Source organism: Homo sapiens, chromosome 15, assembly GCF_000001405.40.
Source record: "Homo sapiens chromosome 15, GRCh38.p14 Primary Assembly".
NCBI classification, from domain to species: domain Eukaryota; kingdom Metazoa; phylum Chordata; class Mammalia; order Primates; family Hominidae; genus Homo; species Homo sapiens.
Window position 1 is genome coordinate 68206433 of NC_000015.10, and position 20050 is coordinate 68226482.

The 20050-nt window shown below is 52.2% G+C and overlaps 1 protein-coding gene across 2 annotated transcripts in view, besides 2 other annotated features; it reads right to left on the reverse strand.

Moving 5' to 3' along the window:
• CLN6 (CLN6 transmembrane ER protein) overlaps positions 560-20050 on the reverse strand; it is a 50220-nt gene continuing 30729 nt past the window's right edge. For both annotated transcript variants that reach the window (NM_001411068.1, NM_017882.3), the window contains exons 2-7: positions 12104-12218; positions 7858-7956; positions 5243-5431; positions 4831-4886; positions 3205-3327; positions 560-1978 (exon numbers count right to left, since the gene is read on the reverse strand). In NM_001411068.1, the coding sequence (NP_001397997.1) occupies positions 1708-1978; positions 3205-3327; positions 4831-4886; positions 5243-5431; positions 7858-7956; positions 12104-12218 (853 nt within the window). In that variant the 3' untranslated portion in view covers positions 560-1707. The remainder of the gene's footprint in view (positions 1979-3204; positions 3328-4830; positions 4887-5242; positions 5432-7857; positions 7957-12103; positions 12219-20050) is intronic.
• Positions 4476-4575: a silencer, noted in NCBI's record as "silent region_6584". NCBI's record gives its function as "represses an Ori minimal core promoter by ATAC-STARR-seq in GM12878 lymphoblastoid cells {active_cell/tissue: GM12878}" and the evidence as "EXISTENCE:reporter gene assay evidence [ECO:0000049][PMID:35858748]".
• Positions 4766-5306: an enhancer, noted in NCBI's record as "H3K4me1 hESC enhancer chr15:68503536-68504076 (GRCh37/hg19 assembly coordinates)". NCBI's record gives its function as "activates a minimal SCP1, AML or CMV promoter by ChIP-STARR-seq in primed H9 embryonic stem cells {active_cell/tissue: H9 hESC(primed)}" and the evidence as "EXISTENCE:reporter gene assay evidence [ECO:0000049][PMID:30033119]".

Below are 20050 nucleotides of genomic sequence, written 5' to 3' on the forward strand. Positions count from 1 at the left end.
CTGTGCCCCACTCTCCCCTCCCCGCTCCTTTCCTGACCGCCTCTGTGTGGAAAGTGTGCTTTTCTCCCAAATCACATCCCCAGAATCGCTTTACACCTGTTTCTAGACCCAGAGAATTTTAGCTGGGGACTCCGACTCCTCCCTGTCAGAGTTTGAGGCTCCCCCTCCCAAACCCCATGGCAGGGATAAGAGGAGGGAAGGCTGCCTCTGTGCAGAGGATGGAGAGAAGGACATCAAGGAAAGTCACTTGGGACTCTGGAAGCCTGAAGGCGGCCAGGCCAACATGCTCCCTCTGAATCCCCTTGCCTGTGGGAAGGGGCTCCAGAAGAGATGAGGTGCCTCCTTGGAGTTAGGCCAGTGTGTGCTGGGGTGCCCCGGCCAACTCCCTCCTTATGTGTGTAGGTGTCTCCGGGGGTGACGCACAGATGGAAAACACCAGCGTGGGGCAATGGCTGCGTGAGGGTTCACGATACAGCAACTCACCATGCTGTAGGGCGCACCGTGTGTGCTACACCTCAGCACGAAAGGGAGAAAAGACAAAAAACACCTCTAACACCACTTGGGGCTGTGACTGTATTTACTTCATTCTTGAATCCCGCGTCCCCGTGGCTGGGGGCTGACACATCCCTGGGCACCACTGTGACTTCCTGTGGGTCCCTTCCCTTCTGTCCCTGACTCTGTAGACCCCCCACAGGAAGGGTCCTAGGTAGGGGGAGGTTCCTCCTCCCTTGAAACCCTGGGCCACTCTGTCAAGGCAAAGCCTCTGGGCCCAGCACCTTGTAAAGGCTTTGATGAGAGGAGCTCTGGCTTTTGCTCAGGGCCTTTGGCACCCCACCCTCCAGCCCCCAGGAATGCAGGCGCTCAAAGCCTGTGGCTAGGCTGCCCGAAGCGCGTGCCGCAGTTCTTCTGGAGTGGGAGCAGGGGGACAGAGCTTTGGGTAGAGGAGGGTCACCTGCAAAGCTGGAATGCCAGGGGAGTGGGCGGTGCCTCCAGCTCCTGGGGGCCAGGGTGTCTCCATACCTCATGGGCCTGAGCCTGGGCAGGGGTCTGGAGTGCACATAGCCCCCAGGCAGGGAGAGGGCAGTGACAGGACAGAGCCACTCATCTGTCCCAAAGCTGCACCCAAGGGGTGTCAGCAACCCCAACCTACTGACCTACTTTGGGACCACAGGCCCATCTAGTGCAAATGAGGCCCAGAAAGGAGAAATGCTTTGCTCAACAGCCACAGTAGGCTGACGTAACCTATGTAATGTAGGGTCAGGGTGGGCCTGAGGGATGAGCCAGGTGGTGGGCAGGTGACACACCAGGTCCCCTCCTGGCCTCTGCCCCACCCAGCCCTCTCCTGCACGGCTACCAGAAGATGTCCGGGAAGAACAGACTAGCCCTGAGTAGGGAGTGTGGTCAGGTGCAGAGGAGGGCAGGGGCCCGGATCCTGGCCCAGAAACACTCTAAAACAGAATCCGATCCTGAGATGATCCAAATCAAACAGAAACTTGACGGAAATAGTAGAGTCTGAAAATGATGCACTCTGCGCACACATATACAAGACACACACACACACACACACGAATCCACGCACACGAGGCACACCCCACTCATGCTCTCGGTCTCTGGTTACACACCCACACCCCCCCTACTCCTGTATTCAGATGCCCTCCATGGCCCACCCTCCCACCCAGCAGAGCGCCAGAGCCTGGTGCCAGGGACTCAGTGCCGACTGCTGACGTGAAGGGTGTAGAAAGCCCAGGGCTCAGGGACGTAGATGACACCCGGGTACTTCTTCCTGAGAACAGGGTCATTCCACAGCCAGGCGACCCAGAGCGCCACAAGCAAGAGGGTCAGTGCGAAGGAGGAGAAGAGGAAGAGGCCGTTGCTGTCCAGGAAGAGGCGCTTGCGCTTCTGGTGCAGGACGAGGGCCAGCATGGCGAAGAAGGTGAAGATGAAGAGGATGAAGATCTGGCCCTCGGTGACCAGGTACCTGGAAAGGCCAGGGGTGAGTGAGGCAGCTGCCGTGGCAACCCCGTCCTGCCTGGCATCCCTTCCTGTGTGCGAGAGCCAGGCTGCCCTCCAGGCAGGCAGAAGAGTCCTCTGGTGCCAGGGCTCAGAGAACTATGCCGCTCTAAGCCACAGCCCATGGGCAGCATATTGATTTAGCTGGTATAGTTACTGTTTTTTAAATGTTGAGTTTGTTGCCAATATTTAAATAACAGAATACCTACAAATGTATATTTCTGGCTTCTCTGGTCACATTAAGTTTATACTTCCACACAACAAAAACTGACTAGAGGAGAAAGCAACAAACAATTGCCATTACGACGGCAGCCACCCCCGCGGCAGGATGCCGGGGTAAGAACCAGCAGGAAGCGCTCCCCTAACGTCTTTCCCGCTCACTGTAGCTGCCACCCATTCTTTTTAATCCCCAGAGAGCATACAGATGAGCCCCAGTGGGCCATCTCAGCCACATAGGGGACAGGCCGGGGAGAGGATCTAGAGCTGGCCCAGGAAAGGAGGCCCTTTTCATTTTGAGGGAGGCCTCCCATCAGAGAAGGGTCCAGTCCTGCCCCGACCCTGTCCTTCCCATGATACCCACAATCCCAGGGTGACCTGTCTCCAGGGCAGAAGTGACAGACGAGGGCTAGGAGACTGGCTGAGGCCTAAGTCCTCTGCAATGGGAAGAAGAGAGAGCCAGAGGGAACAAAGACCCAAGGCCAGAAGCCCCTACGCCATGAAACCCCCCAGTCTGGCCTCGCCATAGTGCTTTACATTTGACAAAGCCCCTCTCTGTCCTCAGCATCCTCATCATCTGAGAGGCAGACAGGCAGGTACCATCATCCCCACTTCACAGAGGTGGAAACCGCAGCCCACTACAGGGCTTGGTGTCGGAGGTGGATTGTACCGGCCCCAGGGCAACACTGGGGTTCTTGAGATGGGGCACAGAGCGAGAGGGGCTTGAGGATGGAGACAGACTGTGCAACCTCGCCCTCTCCTCCCACCTCCCTGCCACACCCAGGCCTGGGCTTCATGGAAACAAAGAGGCCACCACAGGGCATTGTCACAGTCCCCACTAGACACAAGAAGAAGCACGGGCCCAAAGAGGGCCAGTCTCCCTGGGGCCACACAGCAGGTCCATTGGCAAGTGCAGAATTTTGCTGCCGTGGCTCTCTCAGTGCCCCTGCCTCTGCCCCCATGCTGATGTCCACTCACCAGTAGTACAGGCCACTGGGTGCCACCAGGAGCAGGGCAGGCCCTGGAATCAAGCTCTCAGCTTTAGAGGCAGTAAAGCAGCCGCTGAAGTACATGAAGAGGATGAGGAAGAAGGGGATGTACCTGTGACAGGAAGGCCAGTGTCTTAGAGGCCTGCTCAGCGGCCCTCTTCCCCACAACCTCTGCAACCACTCCCATGGGGTCTCATGGAGTGCCACGTCACAGTTTACAAAACGCCTAGCCTGGGTGAGAGGCGCTCCTCTCCACCCAACCTTGCCTGTGCTGGGCGTCAAAGGTGGGACAGAAACAGAAACAGGAAGGCAACGCACGTGTGAGTCAGAGGCCCAGAGGCATCCACACCGCCCAGGGCACCTCACTCACTCCGTGGGGGTAAGGGGTGTCTGGGGGGTTGTCTGTCTCATGCACCGCAGACACCAGCAGCCCAGCACCACACTAGCCTGGAGACAGAGGCACCTCCCGGGCTGAGGATGGAGGTCCACATGTTAAAAAAGAGAACAGCACCTGCAGGGGCCTCTTGGTGAAGCACTGCACCCACTCTCAGCACACAGCCCCACCCCCACCTCAGACACCTCACCCCAAAATACTACCCTCTCCCCTCTCCACACACCGGCTCCCTTTCTCCCACCTGTGCTTTCACCAGTATACCCGCCTGCCTCTTCTCACCCACACCCCCTTCCTGCTGGGGCTCCAGCTCTCTGTTCCTAGCCCCTCCACCCTTCCCCAACCTTCTGTGGGAAGAGGCTCTGGCAAAGGCCAGGGAAAGATGGCAGGAGGCCTGTCCAGGGACCCTGGACCAGCTGAGCCAGGAGGATTGACATCGCAGGGCCCGAAACACCCTGGAAATGCCCGTGCAGGGTGCGTGTGCTGTGAGCACCAACTCAGGAGTGAGCCGGGTCCAGGGCTGGCCCTCACCTCCCAGCTGCAGCCTTCGGAGCCCTCCTCCCTCTGGCCTCAGTTTCTCCTGGGTAAGATGGGAGGGTGGAACAGATGAAGCCTCCCAGCCTGGGCCCGGGATCTCCTGAGGCTGAGACCACATTTCTGAGGTCTCCCCCGACTGAGGGACGGGGTAGGTAGGAAAAGGTGCCCCTCTGGGAGTTCTGAAGAGGGGGGAGCGCAAACAGCACGCCCCTCCCCAGCCTGATCCAGCTGGCTCCCCGCAGCTTCCTCCACTCCCAAAGAGCAGGCCCGACACGGGTGGGGGTCCCTGGCTGTGCCCCCACCCCCTGCCATCACCATCTGGGGGTTGTTTATCAGGGACGCGTCCTCCTCCCCCACCCTCAGGGCTCAGGCTTGGCGAGGAAGGACCAAAGCCACTCGCTGCCCTCTGCTGGCCACAGCGGGCACTGAGGGCTGGGCGGGGGTGGCGATGCTGGGGGGATGCTGGCTGGAAGCCGGGGCCTGGAGCCTGGGACAGCAGCTGGGTCTCCCGGGCAACCTCGGGGACAACTTCACTGGAGGTTGAGCTCACAGTGCCTTTACAGGGGATGAGACTCAACACATGGAGACCCGCAGCCCAGACAGCCTTGCTCAGTGTGTCCCTGAGCCAGTGACAGGGCTAGCCGGTAGTTGGGGCCCCTGGGATAGACAGATGGGCCCATCACTCACCACATGCAGTGACCCAGGTACTCATCATAATAGTAGAGCAGCTCAAAGGAGTCGATCTGAGGGAGGAACGGGCAGGGCAGAGTCGGGGGATGTCGATGTCAGTCCAGGGAGGTGCTGGGGCCCCAAGCATCCCCTCTGACCACCCTTCTCCCAGTCCCAGGCCTCCCCCACTGCCTTATTCCCTACCCGGGGCCTCGCCTTCTGTTACAGGGGCCCAGGTGGGAGGCAGTCTGTGCACCACTTCCTAAGAACACTTGAGCATCCTAGCTTGGGGCAGGCGACAGTGCCCTCACCTAGCAGAATGCCTTTGGTGAAAGGACAGGTGCGGCGAGGGGTGGGGGCCATTTCTTCAGCCTCCCAGGACAGACTGTGCTCCTAGGGCTTACAGGCAGGGAGCAGGAGGTGGCCTCACCAGCGTCTCCGGCTTGAGATTCTTGATGATGGGGTTCTCACGGACAGACAGGTGGTGCTGGTAGCCACTGAAGAGCAGGCGGTGGTTGACAGAGTCACCCACCAGGTGGATGCTGGCACCCATGATGAAGATGATGATGCTCACGTACGTGATGGAGCGTGGCAGGGTGCGGGGGGACCGCTCGATGAGCTGGGGTTCAGAGTGGGGTTGGCAGCATGACCCCACCTCTGTCACAGTATGTGACACCCTCTGCTTCCCCCCTCACACCTGGGGTGGGATGGACGCTTCCAGCTGGAATGTCACTCCAAAAAGTGGCTGGTCCCTTTAGCAGGCCAGCCCAGCCTCCAGATCCTCCCGTGACCCCTATGAACCCCGGAGGGAATGTGGAGCAGCACCCCCCGCTGACTTTACCCAGGGAGCAAAAAGACCAGAGGGCCCAACTCCTTTCCCAAAGTCACACATGAGCTGTAGGCTGGAGGGGACAGCCCAGCCTTCAGTGCAGGAGTCCAGGCTCAGGCCCAGCCCTCCCACTGTCCCTGGCTGTGTCCCTGGGTGGCTGGCCCAGCCTGCTGAAGGCACCTTCTGATTTCTGAGTGGTCCCAGCAAACATGAAGAAAATGTCAGGGATGGGGGCAGGTGCTTCTGAAATGCCACTGTTTAACTGAAAACACACCGGAGTTCTGGGATTATACCCCTCCTACTTCTGGAGATTTGAAGTATCTTTCTTCAATACAAAATGATGGTGATAGTAAATGGTGATACAGGCTGAGCATCCCTTATCTGAAATGTTTCAAATTTCAGATTTTGGAATATTTGCATATACACAATGAGATATCTTGGGAATGCATATGCAAGTCTAAACATGAAATTCATTTCTTTCATTTTTCTTTGAGACAGGGTCTCACTCTGTCACTCAGGCTGGAGTATAGTGGCTCAAGAGATCCTCCCACCTCAGCCCCCAGAGTAGCTGGAACTACAGGTGTGCACCATTATGCCCAGCTAATTTTTAAATTTTTTGTAGAGATAGGGTCTTACTATGTTGCCCAGGCTGGTCTCAAACTACTGGCCTCAAGTGATCCTCCTGTATCAGCCTCCCAAAGTATTGAGATTACAGGTGTGAGCCACCATGCCTGGAAAAATTCATTTATATTTCCTATATACTTTACATACACAGCCTGAAGTTAATTTTATATAACATTTTAAATAATTTTGTACATGAAACAAAGTTTGTGTTAAGTACATATGTGTAGAATTTTCTTTTTTGAGACAGAGTGTTGCTCCATCGCCCAGGCTGGAGTGCGGTGGTGGAATCTCGGCTCACTGCAACCTCTACCTCCTGGATTCAAGTGATTCTCCTGCCTCAGCCTCCCAAGTAGCTGGGACTGCAGGCGCACACCACCGCACCTGGCTAACTTTTTTGTATTTTTAATGGAGATGAGGTTTTGCCATGTTGGCCAGGCTGGTCTCGAACTCCTGACCTCAAGTGATCTGCCTGCCTTGGGCTCCCAGAGTGCTGGGCTTACAGGCGTAAGCCACCATGCCGGCCCTAAGTTTTTTGTATTTTTTTCTTTTTCTTTTTTTTGAGATGAAGTCTCACTGTCTTGCCCGGGCCGGAGTGCAATGGCGTGATCTTGGCTCACTGCAACCTCTACCTCCCGGGTTCAAGTGATTCTCTGGCCTCAGCCTCCCGAGTAGCTGGGACTACAGGTGCCTGCCAGCATGCCCGGCTACTTTTTTTTGTATTTTTAGTAGAGATGGAGTTTCACCATGTTGGCCAGGCTGGTCTCGAACTCCTGACATCAGGTGATCCGCCCGCCTCAGCCTCCCAAAGTGCTGGGATTACACGCATGAGCCACTGCGCCTGGCCAATTTTTTCTATTTTTAATGGAGACGGGGGTTTCACCATGTTGGCCAGGCTCCTGACCTCAAGTGATCCACCCACCTCAGCCTCCCAAAGTGCTGGGATTACAGGCTCCAGCCACCGCGCCTGGCCGAGTTTTCTACTTATAGTATCATGCCAGTGCTTAAAAAATTTCAGACTCCTTTGGAGCATTTCAGATTTCAGATTTTTGGATTAGGGATGCTCAACCTATAGTAGTTTTAAAGGCCTTACTTGGCAAAGTGCAAAGCCAGCAGTTCCTGCTAGTGCTCCCAGTGACATCTCAGGGCTCTCCAGGGCAGAGGATGGAGTTCAGCTGCTGCTGCTGCCTCTCCTGCCACCTGGCTTCTTCCTCTCTTCCCAGTGGGTCCTTGACCTCTCCCTGGACCTCCAGTCACTTCTGCCTCAGCCTCCCCAAATGTTTTACGGTTTCCCAAGCACAGCCTTGTCTTTAGGTCCTTCTACCTGAACACCTCTCTGCTTCCCCCACTGGCACGCCAGGCTGAGGCTCAAATCAAAAGCCCTTTCTTGGGGCATATTTTCCATCCCTCCAGGCCACCGGCAGCTCCGCCTTCCCCGGGCCCCAGGCCCTGGACATGCTGCTCTGTCACAGCCTTCACCCCCCAGCAGCAGGCAGGAGCGTGCTTGAGTCAGGACACAGGGCTTAGCATCACCTTCCTGCCAGGTGTGCAAAGAATGGGGATGACAGGAGAGAGTGGGGGCCCTGGGACAGTACCTTGAGCAAGAGAAAGGGCGTGATGACGTTGTAGGCCATGTGGAAGTAGTCCCCAACACTGGGCTTGTTGAGTGGAAACCACTCGAGAGGGAATACCAGCTGCGGAGCAAATGGAAGAATGGGCTCACCTGGGCACAGCCCCACGCGGCCCTCGGGCCTCAAGGGAGTCTGCCCCTAATGCCGCCCACCCCAACTCCTTTCACCCCCCACCCCATCATGTACACTTAATTCTTCCTGTGATCGCTGGACCTTCTCGGCAGCCTTGGGACAAAGGTTTATCCAGACAGGAAAGCTGAGTCCCAGAGGAGGTAACGGACTTGTCCCCAGACACAGAGCAGATGCAATTCCAGTCAAGGCCTGACCCTGTGCCCCTCACCCAGCAGATACCAAATAAATGACCCTGATGCCAGCTTGGGAGTTGGTAGGCTTCTCAGGGACTCCGTTGTGGCACCAACTTGCTGGGTGACCCTGGGCTAATACTTCCCTTCTCTGGGCCTTGGTTTCCCCATCTATAACACAAGAGAGGTGGCCCAGAGGGCCTACTTGGACCGTTCGGGTTCTGGCGCTCCTGAGTGCCAGATCAGTCTCCTGAGTGCTAGGCCCTGATGTGGAGGGACTGCTTCCAAACCAGGTTCAAAGTACACGTTAGGAGACAAAGGAGAAAACAAGAATGCTCTACAAAGTAGCTGCAACTCTTCCTTCCCAGAGAGAGGAAGGCAGGCCAGGGGCAGTTCCTCCTTCTGCAATGCTCTCTCTTCTGAGCCCTGGCCTTGTCCAGGCCAGTGTGAAAACCCCTATGCGGGGTTAAAGCATTTCACAACCCCCAAACTGTACTTCTAGTATCTGTTGATTGAAAACACACATAAGGCCCACAAGTTTCAAGGAAGGATTTAGATGGTTCTCTCTTTTAACACAGAAATGCCATATTGGATAAACTAAACCCGCAGAAATAAAACTCACAGAATGCAGCAATCTCAGTCTCTCTCTCTCTCTCTTACTCAGTGTGCATGTGTTTATCTGCCTCTTTACCTACATCATATATATACTTGCTAAAATACTCTGTGATAGCAAAACATCAGAAATAGGCTGACTCTTCAATCAAACAGGACCAGTTGAATCCCTGATAGTACTTCTTACCATGGAAGGTTAAGTAGCCATTAACAGAAATGACACCTTATATGTACTGACATGGAGAGAGAGCTATATTTTTTTTTCTTTTTTCTTTTTTATTGAGATGAGGTCTCCTTATGTTGACCAGGCTGGTCACAAACTCCTGGGCTCAAGCGATCCTCCCACCTTGACCTCCCAAAGTGCTGGCATTACAGGTGCCAGGCACCAAGCACCATTAATTTTTAAATTATTTGTAAAAACAGGGTCTTGCTATGTTGCCAGGACTGGCCTCAGGCAATCCTCCTGCCTTGGCCTCCCAAAGTGCTGGAATTACATGCCACCATGCCCACCATATGATATATTCTAAAGGAAAACAAGCAGGTTGCAAAATAAAGTATAAAGCAAAATCCCATTATGGTTAGAAGGGAAAAGGATGTATATATGTGTTTGTACAAGCAGAGAAGAGTGAAAGGGGTGTTCCCGAAACTGTCAGCAGTGGGACAGGAAAGGGGTAGGGAGAGTCTAACACTTCTTTATGTTACAACTATGTTACATCTATGACATGTTACTTTTATAACTTGTAAATGTTTTTGTTTTTAACAAATTTGCAACTATTATGCATACATTTGAAAATCTCTAGCGTATACAAGAGCTTTTCAAATGTCTACGTTCCACCAAGTCCTACTTAGGGTTACAGTGGTCACAGCAGCTCTAAGCAGGATGGGGGAAGTGATTTGCCCAATAGGAGACCCTGTTATGCCAGTAGAAGCTGGGTCCTAGTGAGTGAAGGGAGCCACGAGCCCACTCCTGGCCTCATCTCTCTCTCTAGCACCAGTTTGATGGGCAGCTTCTTTGGCCCCCAGTATGTGGTTCCTTCATGCTAGAAGAAGGTTCAGAGCAGCCAGTCCAGCCAGTCTTCTTGGAGAGAGAAATGAAGCCCAGGACAGTGACTTGCCCTAGGTCACCCACAAACCCAACCAGATGCCCCAACTCTTGGCTCAATTCCTCTTATTTTTCCACATTTAAAAGGCAACCTTCAAAAAGACTGCAGGAAGGAGAACCAGCACCCACCATCACTCCCTGACAGCATTGCCAGGACAGCTTTTCTTTACACCTATCAAGTCTTTGATCCCAGGTAGACAAGCTCGTTATTGACTTGCAATTAGTCAGTCTGCATGTCATTTAGGAACCTTTTTTCTCCTTAAATATTCCAGGTTGCTCTATAGTATCCATAATTTCTGCTTAATTGCCAGGAAACATTCTCTATAATGGACATAGCAAAACTGATTTACCCAGTCCCTAATGCTGGACACGCAAGTCACTTCTAAGGTTTGGCTATCATAAACACCACTGCAATGAACATCTTTGAGTTAGAGGAAACTGCTGTCTTCTTGCTGATTATATCCCTACGGGCAGATTCTCGGAAGGGTATTACTGGGTCAGAGGGATGAATATATTAGGATTCTGGATATTTATGTGACAGAGAATTCAACCTTGTCAGAAAGGGGCTCCAGGGCCAGAATGCCTGGGCAGATGCTGGCCTCTATGCTTGACCTCGAGCCAGTTACTTATTCTCTCTCTCCTCAAGTTTCCTCATCTATAACATTGAGATCAGCAATAGTGTTGATATGAGAATTAAATAAACTGAAACACATAAAGAGCTTAGAACAGAGTAAACATTCGATGTTAGCCACTATTCTAACTTTGCTATAATTATTATTCATTCAGTAAAAATGCATTAAACACTTATTGTGTTAGGCACTATTCTAAGTACTAATCTTGCCAAGTTGTTACTTATGAATTATTACTGCTTTCCAAAAAGGCTTTGCTTTTTGTTTGTTTTGTTTTTTGAGACAGGGTCTCACTGTGTTGCCCAGGCTGGAGTGCAGCGGTGTGATCACGGCTCACTGCAGCCTCAACTTCCCAGGCTCAGGAGATCTTCCCAGCTCAGTCCTGAGTAGCTGGGACTACAGGTGCACATCACCACACCCAGCTAATTTACAAATCTTTTATAGAGACAGGGTCTCATTATATTGCCCTGACTGATCTCAAACTCCTGGGCTCAAGTGATGTTCCTGTTTCAGCTTCCCAAAGTGCTAGGATTATAGGCATGAGCCACCATGCCCGGCCCCAAAAGGGCTTTGCTAATTTGCATGATCACTAGTATGTACAAAGTGCCAGTTTCAGCACTGGATATTGTTATTTTTACACTTGAATTTGCTGAGTGACCTTCGAAAAGTCACTTCCCGTTTATCTTCCAGTAAACTGAGAGTATAGGCCTGGATGCCTTCATATCTTTTGGCTCTATGACTGTGGCCCGTCAGGCAACTGTCAGCAAGTTGGGTGGGAGGGGTCTGGGGGCCATGAATAGTCACACTGTGCCCCCACTACCAAATAATGACTTGATACCTGGTGATATCTCACTTAATTTTCTTCACGTTCGTCTATTTATTATCTATCATCTGTCAATTATCTACCTACCTACCTACCTACCTACCTACCTACCTACCTACCTACCTATCTATCTTCCATCCTCCCACTACAAGCAAGGGGCACTGGTGCCCTCCCAGCATTAATCTTGTCTGTGGAGGCCACCACTGGATACTAAAGCATGAAGTAGCCTTGGAAGGCAGGGGATGGTTTCACTGGATGGCATTAAAAATTACCCATGGCTCACAGTCATATATAATATGCAAAATCAGCCTACGCCCTTCAACTCCAGAAAAAATAATACTATCCCAAGGTAATGGGGAAGGACAGGGGAGACGGAGGTGGGGGTGCGGTGCTCCACTTCCTTTCCTATACCCCTTTGTCTGTCTTGGTGATTTGGTTCAACCTGGTTCACCTGCTTCCAGACACAGGCCAGAGGGGGTTACAGTATTACAGTATGACTGTTCAGGACCACCAGTTCCCCCATGAGAGTTGGGGCAAAGTATGACTCTTCAGGCCCCCCACTTGCTGGCAGTTGCCTGACGGGCCAAGTCATAGAGCTAAGGATATGAAGGCATCCAGGCCTATTCTCTCAGTTTACTAGGAGATAAAGGAGAAGTGACTTGTCTAAGGTCACTCGGCAAATTCAAGCCACACTAAGTGTCCTCAGTGCTGGTCAGAGCCCTGTGCACCATTTCACACTCACCATGGCAATGGGACGCCCAAAGTCCAGAACCCAGTTCTGCAGTGTGAAGTAGAACCAGAGGTCGAGGTGGAAGGGAGCCGTGCGGGCAGCCTCATCAGCGCTCACAGAGCCATGCCTGGGAAGGAACCAGACGAGAGAAGTCAGCTCTTCTCTCCTCCTCCACCAAAATCTTCCCCTGAGATTAGCCACAAAGAGGTCTGGGGACTTGAGGACAGGAGGAGACACACATAATTGAGTTCTATGGATAGGGTTTTGCTGGATATACTGGGGTCTGGCCCTGTGGTCAAGGAGAAGGTGGACTTCAGCTGCCCCGACCTTAGCTTCTCTCTGATTCAGGAAGGAAACAGCTGAACAGGTGTAATTGCTGGGGTTTCTCCGCTACTGAAAGATGGAGGAAATCAAGAAAGGCAAAGGACGCAATCGTGGCTGAAAAGCATGAAACTTGATGATGGATCATGGCAGCTGACCTTAGTTGAGCACTTACTATATCCCAGGCACTACTGTTAGCTGTTTACATGTATTATCTCATTTAATCCTCACAGAAACCTTTCAAGGCTGAAATATTACCTCCATTTTAGAAACGAAAAAACTGAGGCCCAAGAGGCTCAATAACTTGCTCAAGGTCACACAGCTAAGGATTTGAACCCAAATGATTGGGCTCCTGAGCTTATACTTTTAACCTCCATCCCATAGTTGGGTCCATCAGGATTGGTCTATGGGATGGGCATGTGACCAGAGCTTGGCCAATCAGAGCCCTCCAATGAAATGTGCTTTAGAGAGACTGAAATGGATAGGGCCTCCTGCTCGCTTGATTCCAGCACTGTGAGGAGGTCAGGTTGGGCTGCTGGTAATCCTCTTCTCAGCAGTCCACAGTAGAACCTGAGAAGGAGCCAGCAGAAGCAAGGTGATGTGAGAGACACAGCAGGAAGTGGAGTACTGCCTCACGATACATCTTTGGAGGCCTGTCCCTCTCACTAAACAGTTGGTCATCTGCTGTTCACAGATGCACTGAAGTTCCAGGACCAGTGCTGCCTCCTCTGGGAAGGCTTCCCTGATGAAGCTTTTCCCAAAGCCCCACCAGCCCACTGCAGGGAGCATTTCAACGCCAACCCAGTCTGGCATAATGGGGCTGGAGCTGTACTCTCCCATCTAGACCCTCGAGAACAGGGGTGACCTTTAAGGTTCTCCCAACTCACCCACCTCCCTATCAGAGTCCAAATCCTCTTTACAGAGTCCCTGCAATTACTTGCACACCTCCAGGGACAAGCAGCCAGCCACATCCTAAGAGGACTGAGGTGTGGGTTTCATCGTCTCGTTTGTGCCAAGAACAGGCGCCATGGACCACAAATCTGTATTCCTCCAGAGTTCTGAGCTCAGGCCCTGGTCCATGCTCAGCAACTACTGGCTGATTAAAACAGTCACAACGACCAGTTACTCCTTTTGTAGTGGCAAACATTAGCTTAGAGGCACTGCAAAGACTGTCTTCTGTCGATACTGCTGTTGCTTCCCTAATTTTCTGAGATCCCTTCCTGCCAGTTCCAAGGATGATCCATACTGGCTGGTAGAGTACCCCAGGACAGGGAGGCAAGCTCTTGGGAGAAATCTCATTTTCTAGTGGCAGGCAAGACAGGTTGGGTAGGCCTTCCCTAGGTCAGCTAAGTCTTCCTGTCCCCTCTACTCGGTATCTTCCACCCCCTCACTGAACACCAACTATGTGCAATGCTAGGTCTTTACCTGCACTATCTCATCTAATCCACGCATCTGCTTTACAGATGAGGATACTGAGGCTTAGAGGGATTAGGTGCTTAGCCAAAGCCACCCGTGTAGTAAGGAGCTGTGGCAACAATTCCTTTTGTCAGCCTATTTCCCACCCACTGCTTCTTCTGGTAAGACATGATATTTTCTTAGCCACAGGAAGGGCCAGTGATCTAGACTGGCCCAGTGGGACTTTTCCAACTGCAGGTGAGGAAAAGAGCTCCTTCCTTTATAGTGCTGGGTTCTAAGGGTGCAAGCCCAGGACTGCCTACAGCCAAGGTTCCACCCTCAAGGGACATCCAGGTAAGAATGAAGTAGCCTCGCAGAGAGGATCAGGGAAAGGGGGAGAAAAAGTGCTGACAGTGTTCATGTTGCCAGTTCATGATCTGGCCATATGAGCCAACACATTCCTTTTTGCTAAGGATGGTGCAGTTCACACTGGCTTTCTGTCACTTGCAACCCAGTCGTCCTGAATAACACACACAATTCAAACCTGGGTTTATGTTAATTCAAGACCTGTGCTCTTAATAGCTTGCTATTCTGTTTTTTTGTTTTGTTTTTTGGAGACAGGGTCACCTAGGCTGGAGTACAGTGGTGTGATCACAGCTCACTGCAGCCTTGGCCTCCCAGGCTCAAGCATTCCTTCCACCTCAGTCTCCTGAGTAACTGGGACCACAGGTGCATGCCACTATGCCCAGCTAATTTTATTTTATTATTATTATTATTATTATTATTATTTTTTGTAGAGATGAGGTCTCACTATGTTGCCCAGGCTGGCCTCAAATTCCTGGGCTCAATAATCAACCCACATCAGCCATCCATAGTGCTGGGATTACAGCTGTGAGCCACCATGTCTGGCCAACAGCTTGCTATTCTGTTTTTGATTACTAGGCTTATCAGGAGATCAGGTTAGAAAGGGATCTCCCTCCCCCCTCCCCCAACCCTCCCCCTCTCCCTCGCTTCTTCCTTCTCCCTCTGTTGCTGAGGCTGGACTGTACTGCCGTGATCTCAGCTCCCTGCAACCTCCCTGCCTCGGGCTCCCGTGATTCTCCTGCCTCGGCCTGCCGAGTGCCTGGGATCGCAGGCACACGCCGCCACACCTGACTGGTTTTTGTATTTTTGGTGGAGACGGGGTTTCGCCGTGTTGACCAGGCTGGTCTCCAGCTCTTGACCTCGAGTGATCTGCCCGCCTCGGCCTCCCGAGGTGCTGGGATTGCAGACGGAGTCTCGCTCACTCAATGCTCAATGTTGCCCAGGCTGGAGTGCAGTGGCGTGATCTCGGCTCGCTACAACCTCCACCTCCCAGCCGCCTGCCTTGGCCTCCAAAAGTGCTAAGATTACAGGCTCTGCCCGGCCGCCACCCCATCTAGGAAGTGAGGAGCGTCTCTGCCTGGCCGCCCATCGTCTGGGATGTGAGGAGCCCCTCTGCCCGGCCACCCCATCTGGGAGGTGAGAAGCGCCTCTGCCCAGCTGCCCATCGTCTGGGATGTGAGGAGCGCCTCTGCCCGGCCGCCCCGTCTGGGAAGTGAGGAGCGCCTCTGCCCAGCTGCCCCGTCTAGGAAGTGAGGAGCGCCTCTGCCTGGCTGCCCATCGTCTGGGATGTGAGGAGCGCCTCTGCCCGGCCGCCCCGTCTGGGAAGTGAGGAGCGCCTCTGCCCAGCTGCCCCGTCTGGGAAGTGAGGAGCCCCTCTGCCCGGCTGCCCTGTCTGGGAGGTGAGAAGCGCCTCTGCCCGGCTGCCCATCGTCTGGGATGTGAGGAGCGCCTCTGCCCGGCCACCCCGTCTGGGAAGTAAGGAGCCCCTCTGCCCGGCCGCCCCGTCTGGGATGTGAGGAGCCCTTCTGCCCGGCCGCCCCGTCTGGGAGGTGAGGAGCCCCTCTGCCCGGCCGCCCCATCTGGGAGGTGAGGAGCACCTCTGCCCAGCCGCCCCGTCTGGGAGGTTAGGAGCCCTTCTGCCTGGCCGCCCCATCTGGGAAGTGAGGAGCACCTCTGCCTGGCCGCCACCCCGTCTAGGAAGTGAGGAGCGCCTCTGCCTGGCTGCCCATCGTCTGTCTGGGAGGTGAGAAGCGCCTCTGCCCGGCCGCCCCGTCTGGGAGGTGAGGAGCGTCTCTGCCCGGCTGCCCATCGTCTGGGATGTGAGGAGCGCCTCTGCCCGGCCGCCCCGTCTGGGAGGTGAGGAGCGCCTCTGCCCGGCCGCCCCGTCTGGGAGGTGTGGAGCACCTCTGCCTGGCCGCCCCGTCTGGGAAGTGAGGAGCGCCTCTGCCCAGCCGCCCCGTCTGGGAAGTGAGAAGTGCCTCTGCCCGGCCGCCCGGTCTGGGAGGTGTACCCAACAGCTCCGAAGAGACAGCGACCATTGAGAATGGGCCATGATGACGATGGCAGTTTTGTCAAAAAGAAAAGGGGGAAATGTGGGGAAAAGAAAGAGAGATCAGATTGTTACTGTGTCTGTGTAGAAAGAAGTAGACATAGGAGACTCCATTTTGTTCTGTACTAAGAAAAATTCTTCTGCCTTGGGATGCTGTTAGTCTATAACCTTACCCCCAACCCCGTGCTCTCTGAAACATGTGCTGTGTCCACTCAGGGTTAAATGGATTAAGGGTGGTGCAAGATGTGCTTTGTTAAACAGATGCTTGAAGGCAGCATGCTCGTTAAGAGTCATCACCACTCCCTAATCTCAAGTACCCAGGGACATAAACACTGAGGAAGGCTGCAGGGTCCTCTGCCTAGGAAAACCAGAGACCTTTGTTCACGTGTTTATCTGCTGACCTTCTCTCCACTATTATCCTATGACCCTGCCACATCCCCCTCTCTGAGAAACACCCAAGAATGATCAATAAATACTGAAAAAAAAAAAGAAAAGGATCAGCGTGGCCTAGGGCAATACACAAAGCTTGCATGAGGGAAGGGAGCCTCAAAGCACGGATGGATGAATCTAACTAGGCAGAAAAGCAGGAAAGCAGGGTAAAGGCCTGGAGGTGGAAGTGAAGAAGGTTCTGCATGGAGCTGAGATGCCTGGCTTACTGGAGCCAGAGAAAGAGAAGGGACGGGCGGCTCGATCTTCAGACTGGACAGATAGCCAGTAACCCTGAGGACTGCTCAGTGGTCTGAGACGAGTGACCAACACAGAGGCCCCACCCAGCTCCTTCCTCAGTAGCCATCAGGGTAAGGCCTCAAAAAGCAGAGAGTGATAACCTCCAGGCCCAGAGAACTTGGGTGGCGAAAGAGGTAACAGCCTTCAGTTTCTTGCTCTGATACCTCCAAACTTGGCAAAAAGTAGGATGTTCGGTACGAGGAATAAAGGGATTTTGGAAGCATGAACACTTAGATGTGTGTATCTGGAAGTTATGTGTACCCAGCATACACTAGAGGCTCAGTGACTACCTCCTCCTCCACCTCAGGAAGCACCTTGGTCAATGAGAATCCCTGTCATTAGTCCAGCCTAACTTAGTAGGACAGGAAAAAAAAAAAAAGAGGGGGGCTGGGCCCAGTGGCTCATGCCTGTACTCCCAGCATTTTGGGAGGCTGAGGTGTACAGATCACCTGAGGTCAGGAGTTCGAGACCAGCCTGGCCAACACAGTGAAACCCTGTCTCTATATAAAAATACTAAATTAGCCAGGCTTGGTGGTGTGCGCCTGTAATCCCAGCTACTTGGGAGGCTGAGGCAGGACAATCACTTAAACCTGGGAGGCGGAGGTTGCAGTGAGCCAGGATCACGCCATTGCACTCCAGCCTGGGCAGTAAGAGTGAAACTGTCTCAAAAAGAAAACAACAACAACAACAACAACAACAAAAAACAACTCTAAAAAATTAAAAATTAAAAATTAAAAATTAACTGGGTATGGTGGCACACATCTGTAGTTCCAGCTACTCAGGAGGCAGAAACAGGATGATCACTTAAGCCTGGGAGGTCAAGGCTGCAGTGAGCTATGACCGTACCACTGCACTTTAGCCTGGGTGACAGAGTAAGACCTTATTGCAAAAAAAAAAAAAAAAAAAAAAAAAGCAGGCACACAGAGTGGACACTCAGCAACCAGCTTGCAAATCAAGATTAGACTGGGCACAGTGGCTCATGCCTGTAATCCCAGCAGTTTGGGAGGGTGAGCTGGGCAGATCACATGAGGCCAGGCATTCAAGACCAGCCTGACCAACATGACGAAACTCCGTCTCTACTAAAAATACAAAAATTAGCCCAGCATGGTGGTGCACACCTGTAATCTCAGCTACTGGGGAGGCTGAGGCATGAGAATTGCTTGAACCTCACAGGCAGAGGTTGCAGTGAGCTGAGATGGCACCACTGCACTGCCTGGGCAATACAAAAAGACTCTGTCTCAAAAAAAAAAAAAAAAAAAAAGATTAATCAGCACCTGCCTGGTTTTCTTCTCCTGGAACTCTGCCCACGGGAGGCAGATCATGGAATGGTAAAGGCATCCTCTCCCCCAGCTCATGTCCTGAGGATGAGCAACCTCAACCCTGTCCCAAGTTCCTGGCTCCACAGACTTAGCACACTGAGCCCCCAGCCTGTGCCAGCTAGGTCTCAATCACTAGCAAATGCTGCTGAAAACAATGGTGATGGCACAATGGCAGATAACCTGAAACAAGGTTAGACTCTTCTCTCCTTCCCAGCTTTCCAAGTCTACCATATGGGGACAATGACACCACGACAGTTGAGGAGTGCATGCCATACACTTAAAATCCTCAAGGCAGTCAGCAGCATCTGCAGGGCTGCCTGGCAGAAAAGGAAGGGGTTTCATCCTGAACAAGTCAAGCGGTAACCCACAAATGGGGACCACAGAGAGACTAATTTTGCTTCTATTTAAAGAATGGTGACATACAAGACAATGAAAAGCTTGAACAGAAAAAAAACTAAGGAAATGAAGGCAAATATAATGAGAGAATAAAGAAAGGCAACTAGAAACTCCAAGAAAAACAAAAGTAACATAAGAAAGCAAATGTAACTGTTAAACATTATTTGGCTCTGTTGGAACAATATTTATTAAATACATGGCTTAAATAACATACACATTTTATATTAATTTTCAATGTTTAGAGTCAATCCACAGATAAAACATGGAAGATAATTACGGTTTTAAAGCAGCAGATAATTATAGTCTACTTTGATAACATGAAAACAGAGGACAGAAATTGTAGGAAGGGGTGAGGAAAGCTAAAGTTTAGGGTAGGGGACTAATATCATCTTTTTATTTTAGTTTTGGAGACAAGGTCTTGCTCTGTCACCCAGGCTGGAGTGCAGTGACACAGTCATGGCTCATTGCAGCCTTGACCTCCCAGGCTCAAGCAATCCTCCCATCTCAGCCTCCTGAGTAGCTGGGACCACAGAAAGGCATGTGCTGTCACACATGGCTAATTTTTAAAATTTTTCCTTTTTTCTAAAAGGAATCAAAGGCTGGGCGCAGTGGCTCATGCCTGTAATCCCAGTACTTTGGGAGGCCAAGGCAGGTGGATCACCTGAGGTCAGGAGTTAGAGACCAGCCTGGCCAACACGGTGAAACGTCATCTCTACTAAAAATACAAAAATTAGATGGGCGTGATGGTGGGCACCTGTAATCCCAGCTACTCGGGAGGCTGAGGCAGAATTGCTTGAACTCTGGAGGTGGAGGTTGCAGTGAGCCAAGATGGCACCACTGCACTCTAGCCTAGGGGACAAGAGTGAAACTCCATCTCAAAAAAAGAATAAAATAAAATAAACCAAGAAATAGCAGTTGAGTGTAGTTTTTAAGAGTGTGGACTTGGCTGGGCGCGGTGGCTCAGGCCTGTAATCCCAGCACTTTGGGAGGCTGAGGCGGGTGAATCACAAAGTCAGAAGTTTGAGACCAGCCTGGCCAACATGGTGAAACGCCGTCTCTACTAAAAATACAAAAAATTAGCTGGGCGTGGTGCCGAGCACCTGTAATCCCAGCTACTTGGGAGGCTGAGGCAGGAGAATCGCTTGAACCCGGGAGGCGGAGATTGCAGTGAGCTGAGATCATGCCACTGCACTCCAGCCTGGGTAACAGTGTGAGACTCCATCTCAAAAAAAAAAAAAAAAAAGAGTCTGGACTTTGGAGACTGTTTGGGTTCATATCCCAGCTCTGCCACTAACCAGATCTTGAGCAAGTCACTTAACTTCTTGGGCCTTAATGTCCTCATTTGTAAAATGGAGATAATAGTAGATCCTATCCCTTTTTTTTCTTTTT